Here is a 27231-nt window from a genome sequence, read left to right as displayed (position 1 = left end):
TTAAGTTTATAATTCAATTTCAGTTGAAGGTAACTTAAAAGTTAAATACTTTTTTAGATAAGCAAAACATTGGTTTGACTATTGGAGAGTGCCAGTATTTTCTGTGAAGGCTGCTTTTGGAGCAAGGTCAGAGGCGAGCATTTATTCTCTTATTTATTTAACTAATTTTTATATTGAGTAGGTTCTGTAGGTCAGGAATATGTTCCATGAAGGATACCAAAAAGAATAAAATGAAGTCACAGCTCTCACAAAGATTACATCTAGTGGAGGAACTCCCAAATAGCTGAAGTGAGTAAAGAAACCTATCTACAGGGCTGGAGGTCTCATGTCTCACCAAGGATGAATTATCTGGGAATGAGTGGAGAGAAAGGAGACAAGGAAGGAAGGAAGGAAGGGAGGGAGGGAGGGAGGGAGGAAGGGAAGAAGGGAGGAAGGGAGGGAGGGAATTCAAAGTAACTGTTTTGAGGAAGCTAAAAAAAAAAAAATCCAAGATAACATAGAGAAGGAATACAGAATTCTGTCAGATAAACTTAAAAAACAGGTTGAAATAATTAGAAAGAATAAAGCAGAAATTCTAGAGCTGAAAAATGCCATTGACATGATGAAGAATGCATCAGTTTCTTACTAGCAGAACTGATCAAGCAGAAGAAAGAATTAGAAAGCTCAAATGGTGCTGAGAAAACTTGATATCCATATGCAGAAGAATAAAACTAGACTCCTATCTCTCACCATGTAGAAAAATCAAATCAAAATGTATTAAAAACTTAAATCTAAGACCTCAAACTATGAAACTACTAAAAGGGCACATTAGAGAAACTCTCCAGAACATAGGACTGGAAAAAGATTTGAGTAATACCTCACAAGCACAAGCAACCAAAGCAAAAATGAGCAAACGGGATCTGAAGTTAAAAAGCTTCAGCACAGCAAAGGAAATCATCAACAAAGTGAAGAGATAACCCACAGAATGGGAGAAAATATTTGCAAACTATGCGTCTGAAAGGTATTAATAGCAAGACTGTATATGGAGCACAAACAACTCTATAGGGAAAAATTAATCTAATTTAAAAATGTGCTAAAGACTTGAATAAACATTTCTCAAGTGAAGACATACAAATGGCCAAAGGGCATATGAAAAACATTATTGATCATTGGAGAAATGCAAATCAAAACTAAAATGAAATATTATCTCACCCCAGTTAAAATTGTTTTATTTAGAAGTCTGGTACTGACAGATGCTGGCAAGGGTGTGGAAAAAAGAAAAGCCTTTTATACTCTTGGTGGGAATGTAAATTAGTACAAACATTATGGAGAACAGCTTAGAGGTTTCTCAACAAACTGAAAAAAAAAAGGAGCTACTATATGATACAGAAATCACACTGCTAGATATATATGTAAAAGAAAAAAAGTTAGTATATTGAAGAGATATCTGCACTCTCATGTTAATTGCAGCACCTTTCACAATAGCTGAGATTTGGAAGCCACTTAAATATCCATCAATAGACAAACGGATAAGGAAAATATGAAATATATACCCAATGGTGTATAATTTAGCTATAAAAGAGAATAATAGTCTGTCATTTGCAACACCATGGATAAAATCAGAGGTCATTGTGTTAAGTAAAAAAAAAACAGGCACAGAAAGACAAACATTGCATATTCTAACTTATTAGTGGGATCTAAAAATTAAAACAATTGAACTCATGGACATGGAGAGTAGAAAGATGGTTACCAGAGTCTGGAAAGGGTAATGTGGGGGTGGGGAGGAATGGAGATGTTTAATGGGTGCACAAATTTTAGTTAAATAGAATAAATAAGGTCTAGTATTTGATAGCACAACAGGATGACTACAGTCTACAATAATTTGTTGTACCTTTAAAAAGAGCTAAAAGAGTAGAATTGAATACTTTGTAACAAAGAGATAAGTGCTTGAGTTGATGGATACTCCATTTACCCTGATGTGTTAATTACACATTGTATGCCTGTATCAAAATATGTCATATACCCTATAAAGATATGCACCTGTTATGTACTCACAAAAATAAAAAAATTTAAAAATTTTAAATAAAGTATTAGTAAGCTTGCAGAGAGGGTATTTGAAAATACACATTCAGAGGAGACAAAAGAATAAAGAATAAAAAAGAATGAGGCACACCTACAAGATTTAGAAAAATAGCCCAAAATGAACAAATCTAAGTTATTGTCCTTACAGAGGAGACAGAGAGAGAGAGAGGTGGGAGCAAGGTAGGATGTTTATTCAAAGGGATAATAACAGATAACTTCCCAAACCTAGAGAAAGATATCAATATTCAAGTATGAGGGGATTACAGAATATCAAGCAGATTTAACCTAAAGAAGACTACTTCAAGACATTTAATAGTCAAATTCCCAAATATTAAGGATAAAGAAATGATTCTAAAAGCAGCAAGAGAAAAGAAACAACAGACAAAGGAGCTCCAACACGTTTGGTAGCAGGTTTTTCAGCAGAAACCATACATGCCAGGAGAGAGTGGTATGACATATTTAAAGTTCTGATGGAAAAAAAAGACAATTTTATCCTTCCGATGGAGTTCAGATATATGTCTTCACCAAAATCTCATGCTAAATCTCGTGTAATCCCCAATGTTGGAATTGGGGCCTGATGGGAAGTGATTAGATCGTAGGGGCAGATTTTCCTGTTGGTGCTGTTCTTGTGATAGTGAATTCTCATGATATATGGTTGTTTAAAAATGTATAAAAGCTCCCCCACCCCACTTAATTTCTTCCTCCTGCTCTGACCATGTAAGGAGTACCTACTTCCCTTTTCTGCCATGATTTTAAGTTTCCCAAGGACTCCCCAGAAACCAAGCAGATGCCAGAATCATGCTTTCTGTACAGCCTGTGGAACCATGAGCCAATTAAACCTCTTTTTTAAAAAAATTACCTTACACAGTCTTGGGTATTTCTTTATAGCACTGTGAGAACTGACTAATACAGAGATTTGGTACTAATGCAGAAAATTGGTACTGAAGAGTGGGTTATCAATCTTTATAGATTTCAGGTATCTATAAAGATACCTGAAAATGTGGAAGCAACTCTGTAACTGGGTAACAGGCAGAGGTTGGAAGAGTGTGGAAGGATCAGAGGAAGACAGGAATATGAGGGAAAATTTGGAACTCCCTAGAGACTAAATGGTTGTAACCAAATGCTAAGAGTGATATGGACAATAAAGTCCAGGTTGATGAGGTCTCAGATGGAGATGAGGAGCTTATTGGGAACTGGAGCAAAGGTCACTTTCACTATGCTTTAACGAGGAACTTGGAGGCATTGTGCCCTTGCTCTAGGGATCTGTGGAACTTTGAACTTGAGAGTGATGATTTAGGGTATCTGGTAGAAGAAATTTCAAAGCAGCAAATTGTTCAAGATGTGGCCTGGTAGGTTCTAACAACCTATGCTCATATGTCTGAGCCAAAAACAACACAAAACAAAAGAGTGATATGAAACTGGAACTTACATTTGAAAGGGAAGTAGAGTGTACAAGTTTGGAAAATTTGCAGGCTGGTCATGTGGTAGAAAAGAAAAACCCATTATCAGGGGAGGAATTCAAGCTGGCTGCATAAATTTGCATAAGTAAATAGAAGGCAAATGCTAATAGTGGAGACAATGGGGATAGGGCCTCAAAGGCATTTTAGAGACCTTCACAGGAGCCTTTCCCATCACAGGATGGGTGGCCTAGGGGGAAAAATGATTTCTTTGGCAGGGCCCAGGGCCTCACAGCCCCACTGCCCCACTGCCCAGCGCAGCCTCAGGACACTGCTCCCTTTGTCACAGCCACTCCAGCTCCAGCTGTGGCTAAAAGGACCCAGATTCAGCTTGAGCCACTTCCTCAGAGGGTGCAAGCTATAAGCCTTGGCAGTTTCTATGTGATATTAAGCCTGAAGGTAAACAGAATGTAAGAGCTGTGGCTTAGTAGCCTCCTCCTAGATTTCAGAGGATGTATGGAAAAGCCTGGATGTTCAGGAAGAAGCCTACTGCAGGGAGGAGCCCTCATGAATAACTTCTACTAGGGCAGTGCTAAGGAAAATGTGGGGTTGGAACCCCCACACACAGTCCCCACTAGGGCACTGCCTAGTCGAGCTGTGAGAAGAGTTCCACAGTCCTCCAGAACCCAGAATGGAAGATCAACCAGCAGCTTGCACTATGAATGTGGAAAAGCCATAGGAACTCAACATCAGCCCTGATATCAGCCTTGGTGGCTTAAATCTGCAGTCACAGGAACAGAGCTGCCCAAAGCCTTGGGAGCTCAACCCTGGTATTAATGTGCCCTGGATGTGAGACATGGAGTCAAAAGAGATTATTTTAAAGCCTTATGATTTAATAACTGCCCTGCTGGGTTTTAGATTAGTATGGGGCCTGTAGCCCCCTTTTTTTGTTTGATTTCTCTGTTTTGGAATGGGAGTATCTACCCAATACTCATACTCCCATTGTATCTTAGAGGTAACAAACTTTTTTTGTTTGTTTGTTTTACAGGCTCATAGGTAGAAGGTACTTGCCTTGTCTCATTTGAGACTTTGGACCTGCCTTTTGAGTTACTAATAGAATGAGTTAAGAATTCAAAAGAATGTTAGGAAGGCATGATTGGATTTTGCAGTGTGAGTAGGATATGAGATTTGGAAGGGATCAGGGGCAGAATAGTATGGTTTGAATCTGTGACATGATTTGTCTGTTTCCCTACCCAAATCTCATCTTGAATTGTAGCTTCCATAATCCCCATGTGTCATGAGAGTGACACAGTGGGAAGTAATGGGGGGTGGGTTCCCATGCTGGTCTCATGATAGTGAATAAGTCTCAAAAAATCTGATAGTTCTGTAAAGGGCAGTTCCCTTGCACACACTCTCTTGCCTGTTACCATGAAAGACATGCCTTTGCTGCCACATTGCTTTCCACCATGATTGTGAGGCATCCCAAGCCTTGTGAAACTGTAAGTCCATTTGATGTGGTTTGGCTATGTTGTCACCCAAGTCTCACCTTTAATTGTAATAATTCCCATGTGTCAAGGGTGGGACCAGGTGGAGATAATTGAATCATGGGGATGATTCCCCCAAACTATTCTTATAGTAGTGAATAGGTCTCACAAGATCTGATGGTTTTATAAGTGGAAGTTTCCCTGTGTGCACAAGCTCTATTTCCTGCCACCATGTAAGACATGACTTTGCTCCTCATTCACCTTCAACCATGATTGTGAGGGCTCCCCAGCCATGTTGAACTGTGAGTCAATTAAAACTCTTCCCTTTATAAATTACCCAGTCTCAGGTATGTCTTTATCAGCAACATGAGAACAGACTAATACAGTAAATTGCTACCGGTAGAGTAAGGTGCTGCCATAAAGATACCTGAAAATGTGGGAGCAACTTTGGAACTGGATAACAGGCAGAGGTTGGAGCAGTTTGGAGGCCTCAGGAGAGAGGAAGATGGGGGAAAGTTTGGAACTTCCTAGAGGCTTGTTGAATGGCTTTGACCAAAATGCTGATAGTGATATGGACAATATAGTCCAGGCTGAGGTAGTCTCAGATGGAGATAAGGAACTTGTTCAGAACTGGAGCTAAGGTGACACTTGCCATGTTTTAGCAAAGAGACTGGCAACATAGGGATTTGTGCAGAGAGATTATTTAGGGCATCTGGTGGAAGAAATTTCTAAGCAGCAAAGCATTCAAGATGTGACTTGCATGCTGTTAAAGCATTCACTTTTATGTATTCACAAATATATGGTTTGGAATTCAACTTATGTTTAAAAGGGAAGCAGAGAATAAAAGTTTGGAAAATTTGTAGCCTGATGATGCAAAAGAAAAGAAAAACCCATTTCCTGAGAAGAATTTCAAGTGGCCTGCAGAAATTTGCATAAGTAACCAGGAGCCAAATATTAATTGTCAAGACAATGGGAAAAATGTCTCCGGGGCATGTCAGAGGTATTTAAGGCAGCTCCTCCCATTGCAGGCCCAGAGGCCTAGGTGGCAAAAATGGTTTCATGAGCTGGTCCCAAGGCCTTGCTGCTTTGTGCAGTCTCAGGATTTGGCACCCTGCATCCCAGCCATGGTGAGAGGGGAGCAACCTGGAGCTCAGTCCATTGCTTCAGAGGGTGCAAGCCCCAAGACTTGGCAGCTTCCAGTTGGTTTGGGGCCTTCATGTGTACCGAAGTCGGGAATTGAAGTTTAGGAACCACCATCCAGATTTCAGAAGATGTACAGAAATGCCTGTATGTCCAGGCATAAATCTGCTGCAGGGGTGGAGCCCCTATGGTGAACCTCTGCTAGGACAGAGTATGGAAGGGAAATGTGGGTTTGGAGCCCCCACACAAAGTCCCCACTGTGGCACTGCCTAGTGGAGATGTGAGAAGAGGGTCACATCCTCCAGACCCCAGAATGGTAGGTTCACCGACAGCTTGCACTGTGTGCCTGGAAAAGCCACAAACACTCAACTTTAGCCTGTGAAGGCAGCTGGAAGGTGGGGGCTGTACCTTGCAAAGCCACAGGGGTGGAACTGTCCAAGGCCATGGGAGCCCATCTCTTGCATCAGCTTGACCTGGATATGAGACAGGGAGTCAAAGATCATTTTAGAGCCTTAAGGTTTGACTGCCCCTGTGGATTTGGATTGGAAGGGGGACTGTAGCTCTTTCATTTTGGCCAGTTTCTCCCATTTGGAATGAGTATATTTACCCAATGCCTGTACCCACATTGTATCTGGGAAGTAACTAACTTGCTTTCAGTTTTACAGGCTCATAGACAGAAGAGACTTGCCTTGTCTCAGATAAGAGTTTGGACTATGGACTTCTGAGTTAGTGCTGAAATGAGTTAAGACTGGGGGACTGTTGGAAAGGGACAATTGGTTTTGAAATATGAGGGCATGAGATTTCAGAGAGGCCAAGGGTGAAATGATATGGTTTGGCTGTGTCCTCACCCAAATCTCGTCTTGAATTGTAGTTCCCATAATCTCCACATGTTATGAGAGGGACCTGATGCGAGGTAATTGAATCATGGGGGCAGGGTTTTCTTTTTTAATGTTGTTCTTGTGACAGTGAATTAGTCTCATGAGATCTCATGGTTTTATAAAGGGCAGTTACCCTGCACATGCTCTCTTACCTGCTTCCATGTAAGCTGTGGCTTTGTTCCTCCTTTGCCTCCTGCCATTATTATGAGGCCTTCCCAGCCATGTGGAGCTGTGAGTCCATTAAAGTTCTTTTTCTTTATAAATTACCCAGTCTCAGTGATGTCTTTATTAGCAGCATGAGAACGAAGTAATACAATCTGCCTTGCCACCCAAATTTCATGTCAAATTCTAATCCATAATGTTGGAGGTGTGGCCTGGTGGGAGGTGATTGGATCATGGGGGCAGGTTTCCACAGTGGTGCTGCTCTCATCATAGTAAGTGAGTTCTTACAAGATCTGTTTGTTTAAAAAGTGTGTAGCACCTTCCCCTCTTCCTTTTGCTCCTGCCATGTAAGACATACCTGCTTCCCCTTTACCTTCTGCTGTGATTGTAGATTTCCTGAGGCTTCCCCAGAAGCTGGGAAGATGCCAGAATCATGCTACCTGTACAGCCTATTATAATTTACCCAGTCTCAGTTTTTTTGTTTGTTTGTTTGTTTGTTGTTTGTTTTTTTCTGTTTTGGCAGAGTCTTACTCTGTCACCCAGGCTGGAGTGCAGTGGTGCGATCTTGGCTCACTGCAACCTCTGCCTCCTGGGTTCAAGCGATTCTCCTTCCTCAGCCTCCTGAGTAGCTGGGATTACCAGCATGCACCACCACACCTAGCTAATTTTTGTATTTTTAGTAGAGATGAGGTTTCACCATGTTGGTCAGGCTGGTCTTGAACTCCTTACTTTGTGATCTGCCTGCCTCGGCATCCCAAAATGCTGGGATTACAGGCATGAGCCACCGCGCCTGGCCTGGTATTTTTTTTATAGTAGTGCAAGAACAGATTAATATGCCTAGATTAGTATATTCATCCAAAAAAATCCTTCAAACATGAAGGAGAAATACAGACTTTCCTAGACAAAAAAGATAACAGATTTTGGCAACACTGGCCCTGTCCTACGAGAAATGCTAAACACTCATAATAGTAAATATGAAGCAAAACAGAATATTATAACACTGTAATTGTAATGTGTAAACAACCTATAACTTGAGTAGAGAGGCTAATAGATGGACCTATCAAAAATAATAACTAAAACAAATCTTTAAGAAATAGATGAAATAATAAAATAGAAATCGATATAATAACAAGTTAGAAATCAGAGGGGATGAAGTTAAAGTGCAGAGTTACATAGTTATTTCTTTGCTTATTTGTGAGTTCGTTTATGCAGTGTGAAGTTGTCGTCAGTTTAAAATAATGAGTTATAAGGTATTATTGGCAAGCCTCATGGTAACCCCAAATAAAAAATATTCAGCATATACGCAAAAAATAAAAAGCAAGAAATTAAAACATACCACCTTGGAAAATGCCTTCACTAAAAGAAAGACAGGAAGGAAGGAAAGACAGTAGAGAAAAATCACAAAACAATGAGAAAACAAATTTAAAAAATAGTAGGAGTAAGTCCTTACTTATCAATAGTAACACTGAATGTATCAATAATAATAAGTAAGTCCTTACTTATCAATAATAACACTGAATTAATCCATGAAAAAGATTAATCTCTCCAATAAAAAGACATAGATTGACTGAATGGATTAAAAAAATAAGACTCAATCACCTGTTGCCTACAAGAAATACACTTCATCTATAAAGACATAAATAGACTAAAATGAAGGGATAGAAAATGATATTCCATTCGTATGGAAACTGAAAAAGAACACAGCTAGCTATATTTATATCAGAAGAAATAGATTTCAAGACCAAAACTATAAAGAGACAAAGAAAGTAATTATATAATGATAAATGAGTTAATTCAGCAAGAGGACATAACATTTATAAATACATATGCACCCAAGACTGGAACATCAGGATATATAAAGCAAATATTATTAAAGCTAAAGAGTGAGATATATCACAACACAATAATGGTTGGAGACTTCAACACTCCACTTTCAGCATTGGACATATCTCCCAGACAGAAAATCAACAGAGAAATATCAGACTTAATCTGAACTATAGAATAAATGGACCTAAAAGATATTTACAAAACATTTTATCCAAACATTGGGTACACATGGACCTAGAGATGACAGCAGGAGACCCTGGAAACTACTAGTATGGGGAGGCAGGGAGGGAGGCAAGGGTTAAAAAATTGTTGGGTACTATGATCTATACCTGGGTGACAAGATCATTTATACCTCAATCCTCAACATCACAAAATAATCCTATGGAAGAAATCTGCACATGCACCTCTGAATTTAAAATAAAGATTGAAAAAGTAAAGGAAAAGAAAAGAAGAAAAGTGATCAGAGCAGAAATAAATAAAATTCGAATTTAAAAAACACGAAAGATTAACAAAACAAAAACTCGTTTTCTTGCAAAACGAAATGCAAAGGATCAACCAAATAAAAATTTGCGTGTTTTTTTTTTTTTTTTTTTTTGCAAAGATAAAGAAAATTGACAGATCTTTAGCTATCCAGACTAGGACAAAAAAGAGAGAAGATCCAAATAAATAAAATAATAGATGAAGAAGTATACATTACAACCAATACTGCAAAATGTGAAAGATCATTAGCAGCTAGTATGAGTATGTATATGCAAATAAATTGAAAAACATGGAATAAATGGATAAATTCCTAGACACCTGCAAACTACCAAGATTAAACCATAAAGAAATTCAAAATATGAAAAGACCAATAACAAATAATGAGATTGGAGCTGTAATAAACAGTCTCCCAACAAAGAAAATCCCAGTGTCTGATGGCTTCACTGCTGAAATTTAGCAAACATTTAAAGAAAAGCTAGTACCCAACATACTCAAACTATTTTGAAAAATAGAAGAGGATGGAATACTTCTAAAATTCTATGAGGGTAGTGTTACCCTGATTTAAAAACAAACAAACAAACAGACACATCAAAAAGAAAAAAAAACCCTACAGGCCAATAACTCTGAAGAATATTGATGTAAAAATCCTCAGAAAATTTACAAGAAAACTGAATTAAACAACACATTAAAAAGATCATTCATCCTGACCAAATGAGATTTATCCCAGAGATGCAAGGATGATTTAACATACCCACCTCAATGTGACTTATCATAACAACAGAATGATTAAAAAAAACTATATGATCAATTGATGCTGAGAAAGCATTTGAGAAAATTCAGCATCCCTTCATAATAAAAAAAAAAAAACCAAAACTGGATGTATAAGGCACATATCTTAACACAATAAAAGCTATATGAGAGACCCACACTAGCATCATACTAAATAGGGTAAAACTGAAAGCCTTTCCTTTAATATCTGGAACATGATAAGGATGCCCACTTTCACCACTGTTATTTAACATAGCATGGGAAGTCCTAGCTAGGGAAGTTAGTCAAGATAAAGATATAAAGTGCATCCAAACTGGATAGGAAGAAGTCAAATTATCCTTATTGGCAGATGACATGATCTTATATCTGGAAAAACCTAAAGATTCTTCCAAGAAACTATTCGAACTGATCAACAAATTCAGTAAAATTGCAGGATACAAAATTAACATACAAAAAGTAATGGCATTTTTATATGCCAACAGCAAACAATCTGAAAAAAGAGACCAAGAGCTTGAACCAGGGAGTCGGAGGTTGCAGTGAGCCAAGATCGTGCCACTGCACTCCAGCCTGGCGACAGAGCAAGACTCCGTCTCAAAAAAAAAAAAAAAAAACAAGGAAGCAATCTCATCCATAGTAGCTAGAAATGAAACAAAATACCAAGGAATCAACTTAATCAAAAAGTGAAACATATTTACAATAAAACTCTAAGACATTGATGCAAGAAATTGAAAAGGACACAAAAAATGAAAAGATATTCTATGTTCATGAATTGAAAGAATCAATTTTGTTAACATGTTCATTCTACCCAAAGGAATCTACAGATCCAGTGGAATCCCTATGAAAATATCAATGACATTCTTGATAGAAATAGAAAAAATATTGCAAAATTTATATGAAACCACAAACGACCCAGAATAGTGAAAGCCATCCTGAGCAAAAACAACAAAACTGGAGGAATCACATTACCTAACTTCAAATTATACTACACAGCTATAGTAACCAAAACGCATGGAATTGGCATGAAATCATATGCATAGACCAATGGACCAGAACAGAGAACCCAGAAGTAAATCTATCCATCTACAGTGAACTCATTTTCAACAAAGCTGCCATGAACATACATTGGGAAAAGAATAGTCTCTTCAATAAATGGTGCTGAGAAAACTAGATATTCATGTGCAGAAGAATTAAATTAGACTCCTATCTCTCACTGAATATAATAATCAAATCAAAACGGATTAAAGACTTAATATAAGACCTCAAACTATGATACTACTAAAAGAAAACTTTGGGGAAACTTTCCAGGACATAGACTGGGCAAAGATTTCTTGAGTAATACTCCACCAGTACAAGCAACCAACGCAAAAATGGACAAATGGGATCCCATCAAGTTAGAAAGCTTCTGCACAGCCAAGAAAATAAGAAAATGAAAAAACCAACTATGAAATGGTTGAAGAAAATATTTGCAAACTATCCATCTGAAAGGTATTAATAACAAGAATATATAAGGAGCAAAAACAACTCTAAAGGAAAAAACAATAATCTGATTAGAAATGGGCAAAAGTTCACAACAGATATTTCTCAAAAGAAGACCTATAAATGGCAGTTGGGTATATAAAAATGTTCACATCATTGATCATCAGAGAAATGCAAATCAAAGCTATAATGAGACATTATCTCAACCCAGTTAAAATGACTTTTATACAAAAGTCAGGATATAACAGACTCTGATGAGGGTGTGGAGAAAGGGAACACTTGTATACTATTGATGGGAATGCAAATGATTACAACCACTGTGGAAAACAGTTTAGAGGTTCCTCAGAAAAGCCAAAGGAGAGCTACCATATGATCCAGGAATGTCACTCCTAGGTATGTAATCAAAAGAATAGAAACCAGTATATGGAAGAGATACCTGCATATTGCAGCAGTATTGACAATAACCAAGAAGCACCCTAAGTGTCCATCAACAGACAAATGCATTAAAAATGTGGTATATATACATGATGGAGTACTACAGCCATAAAAAATGAGATCCTGTCATTTTTAATAACATGGATAGAACTGGATATTATTGTGTTAAGTGAAATAAGTCAGACACAAAAACACACGTTTTGCATGCTCTCATTTATTTGTGGGACCTAAAAAATTTAAAACCATTGAACTCATGGAGATAGAGAGTAAAATAATGGTTTCCAGAGACCGGGAAAGGTAGTAGTCAAGGGGAAAAGGGGATGGTAAATGGGTACAAAAATATAGTTTGATAGAATGAATAAGATTTAGTATTTGACAACACAACAGGATGAGTAGTCAACAATAATGTATTGTACATTAAACAATAACTTAAAGAGTTGAACTGGATTATTTGTAACATAAAGGAAAGATAAATACTTGAGATGTTGGATGCCTCATTTACCCTGATGTGATTATTATTTATTGATGCCTCATTTACCCTGATGTGATTATTATTTATTGTATTTTAGTAACAAAATATGTTATGTAACCCAGAAATACGTATACATACTATGTACCAACAGAAATTAAACAGAAAAGAAAAATGCGAAGCAAAATTCTAACAACAACAACAACGAAAGAAAAGGTGGCATAACTCTTAGAAATTCAGACAGATGCTGGGGAAATCCTAAGTGCTAAATCCACAGCCTTTTGATTGTCTCCCCTGTTGGCTGTCTGTTTTGGGAGACTTCTGAATCACTGCTCCTGTCCCAATTCACAGCTTTTAGGAGTCAACTGAAGTTGATGAGGATCCAATTCCAGGAAGAATTTTGGGATAGATCTAATTTTAAAGTAAATAGTGTTATAGGATGTTTTATTTGCAAGCCAAGTCTTCTTTGTATATAAATTTTAGTTACATTGAAAAATGAGAATTAATTTTAATCAATCATATACATTTTCTTTAACTTAATGTAATAAAAATTTATTCTTGGTTTTTCAGAAAATAAAGTTAATAAAGTATACAGATTACTTTATCAAGTACCTACCAGTGAGATAACAGATTTTGCAAGAAACATCTTTATCAGAGATCACGTAACTGTTGGGTTTTCCCTGTATTTTCCTTTATTTACAAAATGAAAATGTCTAAAGGAAGGGTACATGAATATCTATGATAATTTTGCTTTAAAAACTAGATATACATACAGTTTTAATGAAGAGCTCATTAAGAATATTGCATTACTACATTACTTAGATCAGCGTAACCTTTCTTCACATCAAGAGTCTAGCCACAGGTCATCCCTATTCATCCTCTGCCTTATTGTAATCTCAAGCTTTCATGCTGCCTCATCCCCTCAGCCAGGTCCCAAAAGTGGTTTCATATGAGGACTCTGTGAAGAGCTTTTAGAAAAATCTGACGTTTGAATCCAACCTCAAAGGTTTTGATTTTATTAATCTTGGGCATGGCCCAAGCACAGGTAAATTTTTAATTCCAGTTGATTTTAATGTATAGCCAGTGTTGAAAACTACTGTCCTAAAGCCTCCCACTGCTCTTTTTTTTAAAAAAACCTCACAGTCTGTCATAAAATCCTGCATGCACATACCCATCTATTTCTTTGAAAGTTTGTTTCTTCCTGCTGTAACAGAAAACAGGCTGCTTCCCAAGAACATTTCTTATTTTTCAGCTTTCTATTCCCTCCACAAACCTGCAATACCTATCACCTGTATCACACTCAGCTGATGACCTTGTTTATCTTATTTATCTGCTTCAAGAAAAAGAGCAAACATAAAAAAACCCTTCCATCAACCAAACTTCTAATCTCCCTCTGCTTGTGCCCTTCACACTGTTTTCTCTGCTAATGAAGTGCTGACCTGATCATTCTGTTACAAAAGGCCAATCCTTCAATTTCTGTACTAGCTTCTCACATATTCTGGAACTGTGATGCTGCAATTAACTCCTTGATCTCCTTTAGTACTAAACTTTCCCTCTCTGTTAGATTATTCACAGTAGCTGGGGTGATACTCAAATAATATCAATGGAAGGAATAATACAAATAATACAATGGAAGTAACTGGAACAACCAGTCTTCCAGGGGAATGTTGTCTGTCTTGCCCCTCATGAAATTAGCATGCTTTAATGTCATTCATCTTCATAAATACTTCCTCTTGATTTCACAGACCTCCTCCAATTACCATCTTCTATCTCTACATTTTTTATTGTAAAACTCACAGTGTTGCCTCTACTGTCTAACTCTTCATCCAGCTCACTTTTATACTACATCTGATCAGGCTTTCTCCTCACCACTTCAGTGAAGCTCCTTTTATCAGTGTTAGCAATGTTACCAGTGTTCCCAGCTAAGCCTCAGTTCCCAGCCTTCATCTACCTTAATACCTCAGCAACATTTGAAATCACTTTCTGTTCCTTGAAGAACTTGAATAATGAAATTTTAAGTAAATTGACATTTTTGCACTTATGTAAACATTTTAGTTGATATGCCATGCTCACTGTTTTGTTATGATGATTGACACTATCAATAAAGTTTAAGATAAAGTATGAATCAAGATTAAGAGAAAATATTGAAAATATTCATTCAAAGTTTAAAAGAAAACATTGGAAGGCTCTTGCATAAATATTAACTCATTAAATAATTTTTAAATAAAATTATGTTGAGGGAGGCACAGATATGAGATTTCCATTACTGAAAGAAATAAAATACATTAAGATATATGACTATAGAGCTGAGAGTGTGTATATTACTATAAAAATTGCATCTTTATGTTTAGAGAATCATAAAATATCTGATTGTCTAGACTGGTGAAAATAAAAGTTTAAGTATTTCTCAAGTAGAACAAAATATGGACTGAAACTTCTATAATTGAACTTAAGATATATTAGACATTTTTCATGAAATTTAACTATTTTAACATTCTAAATATAGCTAAAATACATGAAATTATGGGTTTTCTGAAAGAATATATCATAGAGAACCTGAGTTGTGAAAAGCCTAAATGAATTCAAGAAATGAAAATTATTAGTAATAGATAAACACGAAAGTTATTTTTGTAAAGGTACCTCTAATTAGTTCCTATTATTGCAAATCTAGCCAGGCAGACTCTGCAAAGTAATAATGTTTCAAGTTTCTATTATGTCTGAAATGAAAAACCTGGTCTTCAATAACAAGGACGTTAACTAGATTCTATAAGACTTACATAACCAGTATGTGACTGGTAGGCAGCTTCTTTTCTTTCTCTACTCCACCCTTCGAAGGTATGCTTTGCTCTTCAAAGCAGCTTCAAAACCAGATGGAATTGAATGTGTTAAAAACAGACAGTTATTTTTCCTAGAGATTCCATAAGGATATGAGGAAAAAGATTCTCATTACGTATCCCACAGTAGAAACTATAAAATTTCTTTTTAAATATCTCTGTCATTTCCCAGAAAATGCCTCTCTCTGGTTAGACAGCTCAGTTTTTATTCTGTCTCACCCATAACCAAAGCTTTTCAAAATTGCTTACTGATTCTGCTCTCCCACTCAACTTTGTGAACAAAAACCCAGTGACAACCACACAATGGCCCCTGTGATGGTTAATATTGAGTGTCAATTTGATTGGATTGAAGGATGCAAAGTACGGTTCCCAGGTGTGTCTGTGAGGGTGTTGCCAAAGGAGATTAACATTTGAGTCAGTGGACTGGGAGAGGCAGACCCACCCTCAATCTGGGTGAGCACAATTTAATCAGCTGCCAGCATGGCTAGAATAAAAGTAGGCAGAGGAACCTGGAAGGACTAGACTGGCTGAGTCTTCTGGCTTCCATCTTTCTCCCATGCTGGCTGCTTCCTGCCCTTGAATATATGACTACAAGTTCTTCAGCTTTTGGATTCTTAGACTTACACCAGTGGTTTGCCAGGGGCTCTCAGGCCTTTGGCCACAGACTAAAGGCTACACTGTTGGCTTCCCTATTCCTCAAGCTCATAATTTCAAAGCCTAATTTTCCTACCCATGTGGCACTTCAAGATACAAAAATGACAATCCACTGCTAAGAAAATAAAATTAATCTATAATATTACACTGCCTTAATAGTTTGTATTGAATTGCTAACATTTTAAACACTTAATAAGATATTGGGCTTTACTTCTACTAAAAGTCATAATAATTTTTAAATTTAAGATTCAGAAGGCCCATGTGCAGATTTGTCATATGAGTATATTGCATGATGCTGAGGTTTGGGCTTCTAATTATCCCATCATCCAAGTAATGAACATAATACCCAATGGTGCTTTTTCAACCCATGCCCTCTCACTCCCTCTTTTTTTTTTAATAGAATCTCCATTGTTTATTGTTCCAATTTTTATGTTCATGATTACCCAATATTTAGCTCCCATTTACAGTGGGAGATATCCCATTTACAGTGAGAATATTTGGTATATAGTTTTGTTTCTGCATTAATTTGCTTAAAATAAAATAGCCTCCAGCTGCATTCATATTTCTGCAAAGAACGTAATTTTATGATTTTCTATGGCTGTGTAGTAATTTATTGTATATATGTACTACATTTTCTTTATCCAGTCCGCTGTTGACAGAGACCTCAGTTGATTCCATGTTTTTGCTATTGTAAATAGTGTTGCAATGAACATACAAGTGCATGTGTCTTTTTAGTAGAATGATTTATTTTCTTTTGGATATATACCTTTGGATATATACCCAGTAATTGGATTATTGAGTCAAATGATATTTCTATTTTTAGATCTTTGAGAAATCTTTAGCCTGGTTCCAAAGGGGCTGAACTAATTTGCATTTCCACCAACAGTGTATAAGCATTCCCTTTTCTCTGCAGCCTCACTGATAACTGTTGCTTTTGACTTTTTAATAATAACCATCTGACATGTGTGAGATGGTAACTCACTGTGGTTTCAATTTGCCTTTCTCTGAGGATTAGTGATGTTCAGCATTTTTTCATGTTTGTTGGCCCCTTGTATGTCTTCTGAAAAGTGTCTGTTCAGGTCCTTTACCCTCTTTTAAATGGGCTTGTCTTTTTCTCGTTGATTTAAGTTCCTTATAAATGCTGGATATTAGACCTTTGTTGGATGCATAGTTTGCTAATATTTTTTCCCGTTCTGTAGGTTGTCTGTTAACTCTGTTGATAGTTTCTTTGGCTGTGCATAAACTCTTTAATTTAATTAGGTCCCAATTGTCAACTTTTGTTTTTGGTACAATTGCCTTTGATAACTTGGTCATAAATTTTTTGCCTAGGGCAATATCTAGAAGGGCATTTCCTAGTTTTCCTTGTAGGGTTTTTATATTTTGAGGTCTTATATTTAAGTCTTTAATCCATCTTGATGTAATATTTGTATAATGTGAAAGGAAGAAGTCCAGTTTTTATTCTTCTGCATGCAGCTATCCAGTTTTCTGAGCACTATTTATTGAAGAGTGTCTCATTTCCCCATTGTTTTCTTTTTTTTTTTTTTTGTCAACTTTGTTAAAGATCAGTCAGTTGTCCATGTGCATCTTTATTTCTGGAGTCTTCATTTGTTTCCATTAAGTCTATGTGTCTATTTTTATACCATTGTCATGGTGTTTTGGCTATTGTAGCCTTGTAGTATAGTTTGAATTCCTATAATATGATATCCCTGGCATTATTATTTTTACTTAGGATTGCCTTTGGCTATTCGAGATATTTTTGGGTTCCATATGAATTTTAAAATAGCTTTTTCTAATTCCATGAAAAATGATGTTAGTTGATAGAAATAGCATTGAATCTGTAGATTACTTTGGGCCATATGGACATTTTAAAGATATTGATTCATCTAATCCATAAGCATGGAATGCTTTTTCATTTGCTTGTGTCAAATATGATTTCTTTTAGCAGTGTTTTATAGTTTTCCTTGTAAAGATTTTTCACCTCCTTAATTAGATTTATTCTTAGGTATTTAATTATTTATGTGTGGCTATTTAAACGGGATTGCATTCCTGATTTTGTTCTCAGCTTAAATGTTATTGGTATTTAGAAATGCTATTTATTTATGTTGTTTTGTATCCTGAAATTTTGCCAAAGTTGTTTATCAGTTCCAGGAGTCTTTTGGTGGAATCTTTAGCATTTTCTAGGTATAGAATCTTATCATCCACAATGACAATCATTTGACTTCCTCTTTCCCTATTTTGATGCTTTTTATTTTTATCTCTTGCCTGATTACTCTGGCTAGGATTTCCAGTACTAGGTTGAATAGGAGTAGTGAAAGTAGACATCCTTGTCTTGTTTCAGTCTAGGGAGATTGTTTCTAGTTTTTGCCCATTCAGAATGATGTTGGCTGTGGGTTTGTCATAGATGGCTCTTATTATTTTGAGTTATGTTCCTTTGATGCCTAGTTTGTTGAGGGTTTTATGCTTTCTCTGCGTCTATTGAGAGGCTCATATGGTTTTTGTTTTTAATTATTTTTATGTGGTGAATTACATTTATTAATTTGCATATGTTGAACCATCCTCACATCTGAGGAATAAAATCTATTTGATTGTTGTAATTAACTTTTGATAAACTGCTGGATTTGGTTTGCTAGTATTTTGTTGAGGATATTTATGCCTATGTTTATCAGGGATATTGGCCTGTAATTTTTTTTTGTTGTTGTGTCTTTGCAAGATTTTGGTATCAGGATAATTCTGATTTCATGGAATGAGTTATGGAGAAGCTCCTCTTCCTCAATTTTTTGGAAAATTTTAGTAGAATTGGTACCAGCTCTTATTTGTATGTCTGGTAGAATTTGGCTGTGAATCCATCTGGTCTGTCTGAGGCTCTTTTGTTGTTGTTGTTGGTAGGTTATTTTTTATTCCTGATTCAATTTCAGAACTCATTACTGGTCTTCTTAGGAGTTTTGTCTCTTCCTGGTTCAATATTGGGAGATTGTGTGTTTTCAGGAATTTATCAGTTCCTTCTAGATTTTCTAATTCATGGGCATAGAGATGTTTGTATAGTAGTCTCTGAGTACCTTTTGTATTTCTGTGGGATCAATTATAATGTCAACTTTATTATTTCTGATTGTGCCATTTGTATCTTCTTTCTTTTTTTCTTCGTTAATGTAGCTAGTTGTCTATGAAACTTGTTTATCCTTCCAGAAAACCAAATTTTTGTTTCATTGATCATTTGTCTGACTGGATTGATTCAAGGAACTGGTCTTCGAGCTCTGAAATACTTTCTTCTTCTTGGTCTAGTTCAAGCTTGTCCAACCCATGGCCTGTGGGCCACATGCAACCCAGGACAGCTTATAATGCAGCCCACCACAAATTCATAAACTTTCTTAACACATTATGAGTTTTTTGTAATTTTTTTTTTTAGTTCATCAGTTATCCTTGGTGTTAGTGTACTTTATGTGTGGTCCAAGACAATTCATCTTCTTCCAGTGTGGCCCAGGGAAGACAAAAGATTGGAGACCTCTGGTCTAGTCTGTTGTGAAGACTTTCAACTGTCTTTTTAAATTTCTGTAGTGAATTGCTCAATTCCAGAAACTCTGTTTGGTTGTTTCTTAATATGGCTATGTTTTCTTTCATATTTTAGATCATTTTTTGTGTGTGTGTTCTTAGTGCTGGATTTCAACTTTATCTTGGATCTCAGTGAATTTCTTTGCCATCCATATTCTCAATTCTATAGCTATCATATCAGACATTTCATTCTGGTCAGGATCTATTGTTTGGAAGTTAGTGGGATCCTCCGGAGGTGACAAAACACTCTGACTTTTTCTATTGCTGGAGTTCTTGCATTGGTTTCTTCTCATTTGAGAGTCTGCTAGGGCTGACAGTTTTTTAAAAAATTTACTCTGATTTGGATGGGGCTTCTTGATTTTATTCCCTTGGGGGTATGACTATGGTACGTATTGTTTGATTAGCTTCGTTTCTGGGTGCTTTCAGGTTGCCACGTCTCTGTACAGGTTTCTTGGTTGAAGGCAGGTTTGTGAAATGGCTTTCTCAGGCATTGCTTTTGTAGCAATGTAATTTTTCTTGGTGGTATAATTCAGGCTGTACTCTAGTTGGTGTTGCTTAAGAGTAGGAGCCAGCAGGTAGGGGCATGGGAAGTGGCAATGAAGAAGTATGAAAAGCACCCTTCTCCAGTGTGTGTTTGCCTTCGTTGGGGGTGGAGCTGCTGGAGAAGCCCAAGAAGCAGTCTCTTTCTGCCCATGCTCCCTGGGCCCTTAAGGGAGTAGCTGCTGCTAAGTCCACAACAGTGCATTGAGGACACATGGCAAGGGGTAAGAGATAACCTTGTCTCTACATCCATTCCTGGGCTTCGGTGGAGCTGCTGTCAGTGGCTGGTGCCATGCTTGCATTTTTATTGTGCTAACAGGAGCTTTAGTGGGCTGCACTTCACCCTCCCTTAGGGGCAAACCAAACCAAGAGTTAGATTAGAGGAGTGGGTTCCACCTTTCTCTTGCTCCTCAGAGCTGGTGGGACACTGTTCCCTAACTCACCAAGGGAACAGACTAGAGCACCCAGAAATGATACATGCAGACCGGGTTTCAGGTCACAAAGCTGTCTCTGGCTGTAAGTCTCACTACCCAGGAGAAATTTGGCTTCAGCTACTCTCCTCCTCCAGTCCTGCAATGATGGGGGGCATATAATTCCAATACCTACTGCTGGGGCAATCTCTACACTTTCCACTCGATTCTGGCTGTTACAGCCCTTCCCCACTACAGAGCAACAGACCCAATATCTGTTTCAAGACTAAAATGCCTACTGTGACTGCTGCTACTAGATCACCAAAAAATGTCTATAAGCTCTCAAAATGATGCCATCTATGGAAATGTGACTGGAGTGGTTTGGGCCTGTGTCAGGTGGGCAGCAGAGGCAAGAAGCTGTGAGGAGTATGGTCTGCTTGATTCTTGGTCTCACAGCAGCCTGTAGAAGGGCACTGGGTATTGTCATAGGTTGTTGTAAGACAGCCTCACTTCCCTCTTGGCTGGGCAGTAGCTGCAGCCATAAGCCCAAACTCAGGGTTAGGGTGTGAAACAGCTTGGCATAAAACTCTTGAAATGGTACCTTGGGCCTGGGACCAGAGAGAATGGGCATCACCTAGGCAAGCAGTGTGAACAAGAAGCTGTGTGGAATGCAGTTCACTTGTATCTCAGTCTCAAAGGCAGCTCACAGCAAAGTATCTTCCCAGGGGTATGTGAACACCACCAGTTTCCCCTCTCCCTCTTTGGAACAGAACAGCAACTGCAGCTGTGTCTGTAAATCCTCGGTTATTGGGGCTCTCAAAATGGCTTGCATCTGAGGCTGCACTAGGCTTTATATGCCTATGGGATTCTGTGTGCGTTTCCTTTCTGGAGCAACGTCTTGTGAAGTCTATAGGCATCTCTGTATTTCAGGCATCAGGCCCTAGCGGGTTGAGTATTTCTCCCATACCCAAGATCATTAAAGCCCATTTCAGATTTCTGAGGATTTCTCTCTTACTATTTTCCAGTGTCTCGTAGCCTCTCCCAGCTTTCAGTTGGTTCCCAGCTGGGCAAGCTACTGCAAACTTTCTCCTTACTTCTGGTGCTCCCCATCTCTTCTCTGATGAATCAAAGCATTCTGTTCTAGACAATCTGTTCTCAGTGTATCCACTTACTATTCTGGGTCTTCTCCGTGGAGGAGCACATAGGACCTCAATGTAGTCTGCCATCTTGATTCCTTCCCAACTACGAATAATACAAACTTTTCTACTATTCAGGGTTGCCATGAAGGAGTTCACCACCCAAGGTGTGGAATGAGTTAGTGCAGGACCTTGTTTGTGAAGAATAATCTAGATTTAACTACCATCCTATAATTACAACAGACAAATTTTAAATTGAGAGTTTTATCCATTTTCTCTCTTAGATAGTGGGGACACTTCTGAAATATATGCTCACTTTTATGAGGATGACTTCACTTTAAAAATCTTATTTTTGTGTTTTACTATGAATAGATAAACATCGCTCAAGGGGACACATGATTATTTTTAAAAGAAAGAAAGATAAAATCTTTATTCAAAATGACAATGATTATATACTTAGGTGTCTTTTGTCTGTTTATTGGGCATTTCCTAATTTTGATTTTTAAACTTTGATTCTCTTTCATTTCTATTGATCTTTCTATTTTCTCCTTGGTTTCAAATAAGTAAGAAAAGGGTTCTGGAATTGAGGACTTACACCCTTTTGACAGAAACATGCTGGTGAGTAAGGGAAGAAGAAAATTAGAAAGTTAATCTTTAAATTTTTTTCACATGTTTTTAACTTGAAATTTCTTATTTTGTGTCTTTTATTTTTTTGTTTTCTCTTTCATTTTCCATATTTCTGACTATTTTATTATTCACCTCTGAACCTTTTAATAAAACTCCTGTTTGAAGTCTGACAATGCTATTCAGTTTCCTATGGAACTAACATTTAAACCTGGTATCTACATAGTCTAGACTTGCTTCCTAGGGCATATCCCAAATATAGTAGTATACAGACCATGAGTTTTTTAAATAAATTTTGACTCAGAAATTTGACTTTTAATAATCTATTCTAAGGAAATTAGCATATAAATATTTATGAAAACATTATAGGATATAGTTTTAAAGAACCTAGTGCCTGGTATGTAACCTCCTGGACTTACATCTCAAAGCTTACTAATTCTGTGATTTTGTAAAAATTCCTTAAAATCCATGTGCTTCCTTTTTTTTCATTTACAAAGTGGGAATACTTTGAGACCTACCTCAAAGAATTATGGTATGGATTAAATAAAGTAATACATGCAAAATCCTTTGCATAGAGGCTGGCACATAAGATCCCTATATATGTGAGCTGTTTTATTAGCTAGGATTACTGGTATTATTATACAATAAATATCTGTAATACATATGTATGTGTGAATATGTATGAGAGAATTCTCTTGCATTATTGATTTTAATTTAAAAATAAAAAATATCCATCAATATAATATTAATTAAATGTATTACAGCACATCTATTCTAATATGCAGCCATTAATAATTGTGACCTTGAACAACTTTTTTCATTATTTTGATAAACATTTACTAACATGAGAAAATGTTCTTAAATATAAAATAAAAAGAGCAAGATATAAAGATATATGTTTCTCTTATAAAAGAAAAAATATGCACATAACACCAACACATAGCAAAATGTAGCAGTTCTGTATAGGTGACTTTTATTTACTTCTTTATATTTCTATGCATTTAAAATACAATGTATATTGTATAATATAAATATAATTATAGAAATATCAGACCTGTGTTTGAGAATGAAATGAGAACTCAAAAGGTGAGAAAGTGTGTGGTCTTCCCCTATCATTTACTACATGAACAACCTAAGACAAAGAGCTTCGAGGCTTGTCAAGGGTCACAGGTATTGAGCAACGGTGTAGTTGGAATAGGATTGGTAATTATCATACTTTCGAATTCTTGGCTATTGAAGTCTTTGAGAATAAATATCCAATTAAATATTGTTATAATTATAATAGAGATGTTGAATTCAAGTCAATTTCAAATAATATCTAATGAACGGAGGGGATGCCACAGCCATTAAAAATATATATTGATGATGAATGTGTACCACACACTGACAGGCAACACAGAAGAACAGCAATGCTCTGCTGTATTTTTCCTCTGCCTGTGGCAGACATGGCAGTGTGTGACCCAAGCCTAAAGGTAAGATATGTCCACAACAAATTCAGACACATGGGGATTTCTGGAACACTTATGAGAGGGCTACAGAGGGAGGATGTGTGAGAAGAGGAAGTAGGCATAAAACTCTGTCCTAAAACAAAGTCTTCCTAATCCAAATGAAGAGGCAATTTCAAACAAGGAGACACTGCCTGTCATTCAGGTTGGTTCTTACATCTAGTGCTACCCTTAGTGGCAGAACACATACATGTATGCATGCACACATATACACATAAATATACACCCTCTCTTTTCCAAATAATTCACATCTGAGTTGTAGGAGGAACTGTGTTATAAGAGCTGAAAGAGTTATTTTCTCCTAAAAGACATTCAGAGTGCAAAATGTAATTTAAAAGGGGTTGAGAGGTATTTCGTTCACTTCTGCCAGGAAAGCAGAATTAACTGCTTAGGACCTGGAGAACTCCTGAGAACAAAGCATCAGTTTGGCACTTTGAAGACCTCAGCAGTAGATTTCTCTTAGGGTGGCGGAAAAACGCCAGGTGATATGCAAACATCAGCAAGCACAGCAATAGTTGGAAAAGTGGATCATACGCAGTGGTGCTATTAGAAGCAGCATTCTTCTCTAGCCCTGGAAATCTAGCAAAGCATTCACGTATCTTGGTTGTGTGTTAGATGCCAGGATACATCGTAAGAGCAACATTATCTCATCCCCTAGCCCTCACAGAGATCCAATGGTGTGAAGAGATTGAAATACATAATTACACAAATAATTCCTTAATTCTAATTGCAATCATGTTCAAAGGAGAAATACAGAGGTTAAAAGGACATGTGTGTGTGTATTATATATATTTTATATAAATGGCAGATATATATATGTACACATATATACATATATACGTATGTATACATATATATATGGCAGAAAAAATTAATTCAGTTTGGAGGATTAACTGTAGAGGTTTTAATAGGAGACACGTACAAGGAGACCAAAGCTAGAAGACAGAACAAAACCAGCAATCACTATATTGGTAGGTTAGTGAATTTGAATATGCATACATGTAATATCCCCACTATGAATTGAGGGTTGAGTCTTACAATAACAGGAGAGGAAAAAGGCAGTGAAGTATGATTGTCACTGCATTACTGATCTTAAATTTAACCTCAAGTTTAGATAGCCTGACACTGTTACTTATGTGTCCTCAATTGTAAAGCATAGAGGGATATTTGGGACACACAAATGGGAGATGCTTAACTAGTGTAAAATACTGATCCTGACAAGCAAAAATCACTTTGGTACATCACATAACAATAAATGTGTTTTTATTTTTTCATATATTTATGTTGAGATACTCAGTTTTCTGAAATTATTATTAGTGAAAGTAAATCAGCCGTAATAAGGCACTACAGTCATTTTAATTTATATCTGGACTGTTTTCTCTCAGATATGAAACCTTAAAAATAGAAGTGAACTTTAAAACTGAGTCCAACCTTGCATTCTGTTGAAAATAGACTACCAAAAGTTAAGTGATGTGACAGTGTCTATGGAGCAGAGTTGGGACCGCACAAGTCTTACTTGCTAGGCCTTCACCCTGCATGGCTCTTTGCATCTCTGTTTCTTCTTTATTTCATTCATGAGTGTCTTGGCAAGCCATTTTTAAATTTTCTGGTTTCAGTTCCCTCTTTTTCTTCATTCTTTTCTAATTATTTCTTTTCTTTTCTTTTTTTACAATTCTCCTGCATCTCTTTTTCCACCTCCCAATTTCTTTCTGATTTTATCCATTTTATATTTCCTCATCATTACATTTTATCATTATATAAATGAGACATAATACAAGTAAAAATGAATGGTTAGGAATGAATTCTTTAGTCAGTATAAACAGTGACACATGGTATAATAAGAGAACTTAAGGAAAATAAGAAAACACAGGAACTAAAGAGTCCCAATAGCTAACCACATGAAGATGTTAGAGCAAAAAGGTAAATCTTTATTCCTTATGTTGTAATCAATATGTTTAAATCTTGTGATACATTGAAAGTATTAAAGAGAAATGAAATTGTATTCATTGTGTAAAAATGTACATTTTAATTAATAATACATTAAAGTACATGTAAAATTTCAAAAGTTAAAACTATTTTACATATGGTTTCAAAAAGTTACTTTTCTTATAATATTAAAAATCATTAACCTTAAATTGACAAAAATCAAATGTTAATAATAAACATTGTTAATAAATTGGCATTTAAAACAACAAATAAATATAAATTTTAATTTAGACAATTTTATTAAATATTGTTAAATATTTTTATAAAATAAAATTCTGTTCCAGTTTTCAGTGTTTGTCTAGTTGTCAATTACAAAAATCAGTGTCAAGATACTTGTTATGTCTAGACATATACAAATTTAAGAGAATTTAAATTGTTTAGGAGAGAGGAATATTCCCCAGGTACCACAGGTGATATTTCAAATACCATATTAATTTGTGAGTAACTCCAGAACTTCACATTGGAACAAAAAAAAAAAACCAAGAAAATAACTCTTAGCAAAACTAGGAAATGAAATGTTTTTGAGAGAAGCTGTCGAATTCATGCTATCGGAGTTAAATGCTATCAGAGTTAAATATCTTCTTCCCTTGGATCTAAACGTCATGCTGCACAGATTATTTTGGTACTCTGAAACAGCACTACCCACAAACATTCATGAAATCTGAGACCAGTTACTTAGTGTTTTGAGGGCATAGTTCAACAGATGCGGAGAACTGTTTTCTTGGGGTCTGAAGGGTGTTAATCAAGACAGTGAATGTTTAGGATTCCCAGGGACAGTCTGCCATACTGAATGTAGAAAGCTGTGTATCAAAACTGTGTATATTCCTCTTTTTTTTTGAGACAAGGTCTTACTATGTTGTCCAGGTTGGCCTCAAACTCCTGGGTTCCAGCCATCCTCCTGCCTCAACCTCCCAAGCAGCTGGGACTACAGGTGCATGCCAACATGCCTGGTTATATTATTTAATGCTGCATGTATGTGTGTGCACATGTGTATGTGTGTGTGTGTCTGTATTTGTGTGTGACAAAGTCTTGTTGAAGCTGGGAAATCCAAGAGACGGTGGTTGTCTTGTCACTATAATCTCACAATAAAGAAGGAAAGAATGAGAGATTTTCCTCATCTCTTCTTAGGAGGGCACTAGTCCAGTCATTAGGGCTCTTCGCCCTTGACCCAATCACATCCCAAAGGCCCTACCTCCTAATATCATCACATTGGGGTTTGGGATTTCAACAAATACCTTTTGGAAGAAACATGAGCATTCAGTTCACTGCAGCTGGCATGTACCTGTAGGTAGAAAGATATACAAAGTAGGATAAGCATGATACAGCAAAAATAGAAAATGCGTGGGACTAAGATTTCAGATATTCTTTGCAAAGGGTTTTATTGATATCCTAGAGAAGAGGAATAATGCACACTGAAAT

General features: G+C 36.6%; 1 long non-coding RNA gene across 1 annotated transcript in view, besides 2 other annotated features; it reads left to right on the top strand.

The window, feature by feature from the left end:
- The window catches only part of LOC105377865 (uncharacterized), a 374941-nt gene that overhangs the window by 104902 nt on the left and 242808 nt on the right, over window positions 1-27231 (top strand). The window lies entirely within an intron of this gene.
- Window positions 3489-3990: an enhancer, noted in NCBI's record as "NANOG hESC enhancer chr6:78901647-78902148 (GRCh37/hg19 assembly coordinates)". NCBI's record gives its function as "activates a minimal SCP1, AML or CMV promoter by ChIP-STARR-seq in naive H9 embryonic stem cells {active_cell/tissue: H9 hESC(naive)}" and the evidence as "EXISTENCE:reporter gene assay evidence [ECO:0000049][PMID:30033119]".
- Window positions 12933-13102: an enhancer, noted in NCBI's record as "experimental_95804 CRE fragment used in MPRA reporter constructs". NCBI's record gives its function as "activates a minimal promoter by MPRAs in K562 erythroleukemia cells, with activity observed for both the introgressed and non-introgressed 6:78892620 variant alleles {active_cell/tissue: K562}" and the evidence as "EXISTENCE:reporter gene assay evidence [ECO:0000049][PMID:34662402]".

This window comes from Homo sapiens, chromosome 6, assembly GCF_000001405.40.
Source record: "Homo sapiens chromosome 6, GRCh38.p14 Primary Assembly".
NCBI classification, from domain to species: domain Eukaryota; kingdom Metazoa; phylum Chordata; class Mammalia; order Primates; family Hominidae; genus Homo; species Homo sapiens.
The sequence above is the reverse complement of the archived record's forward strand: the minus strand, read 5'-3'. Positions and strand labels throughout refer to the sequence as shown.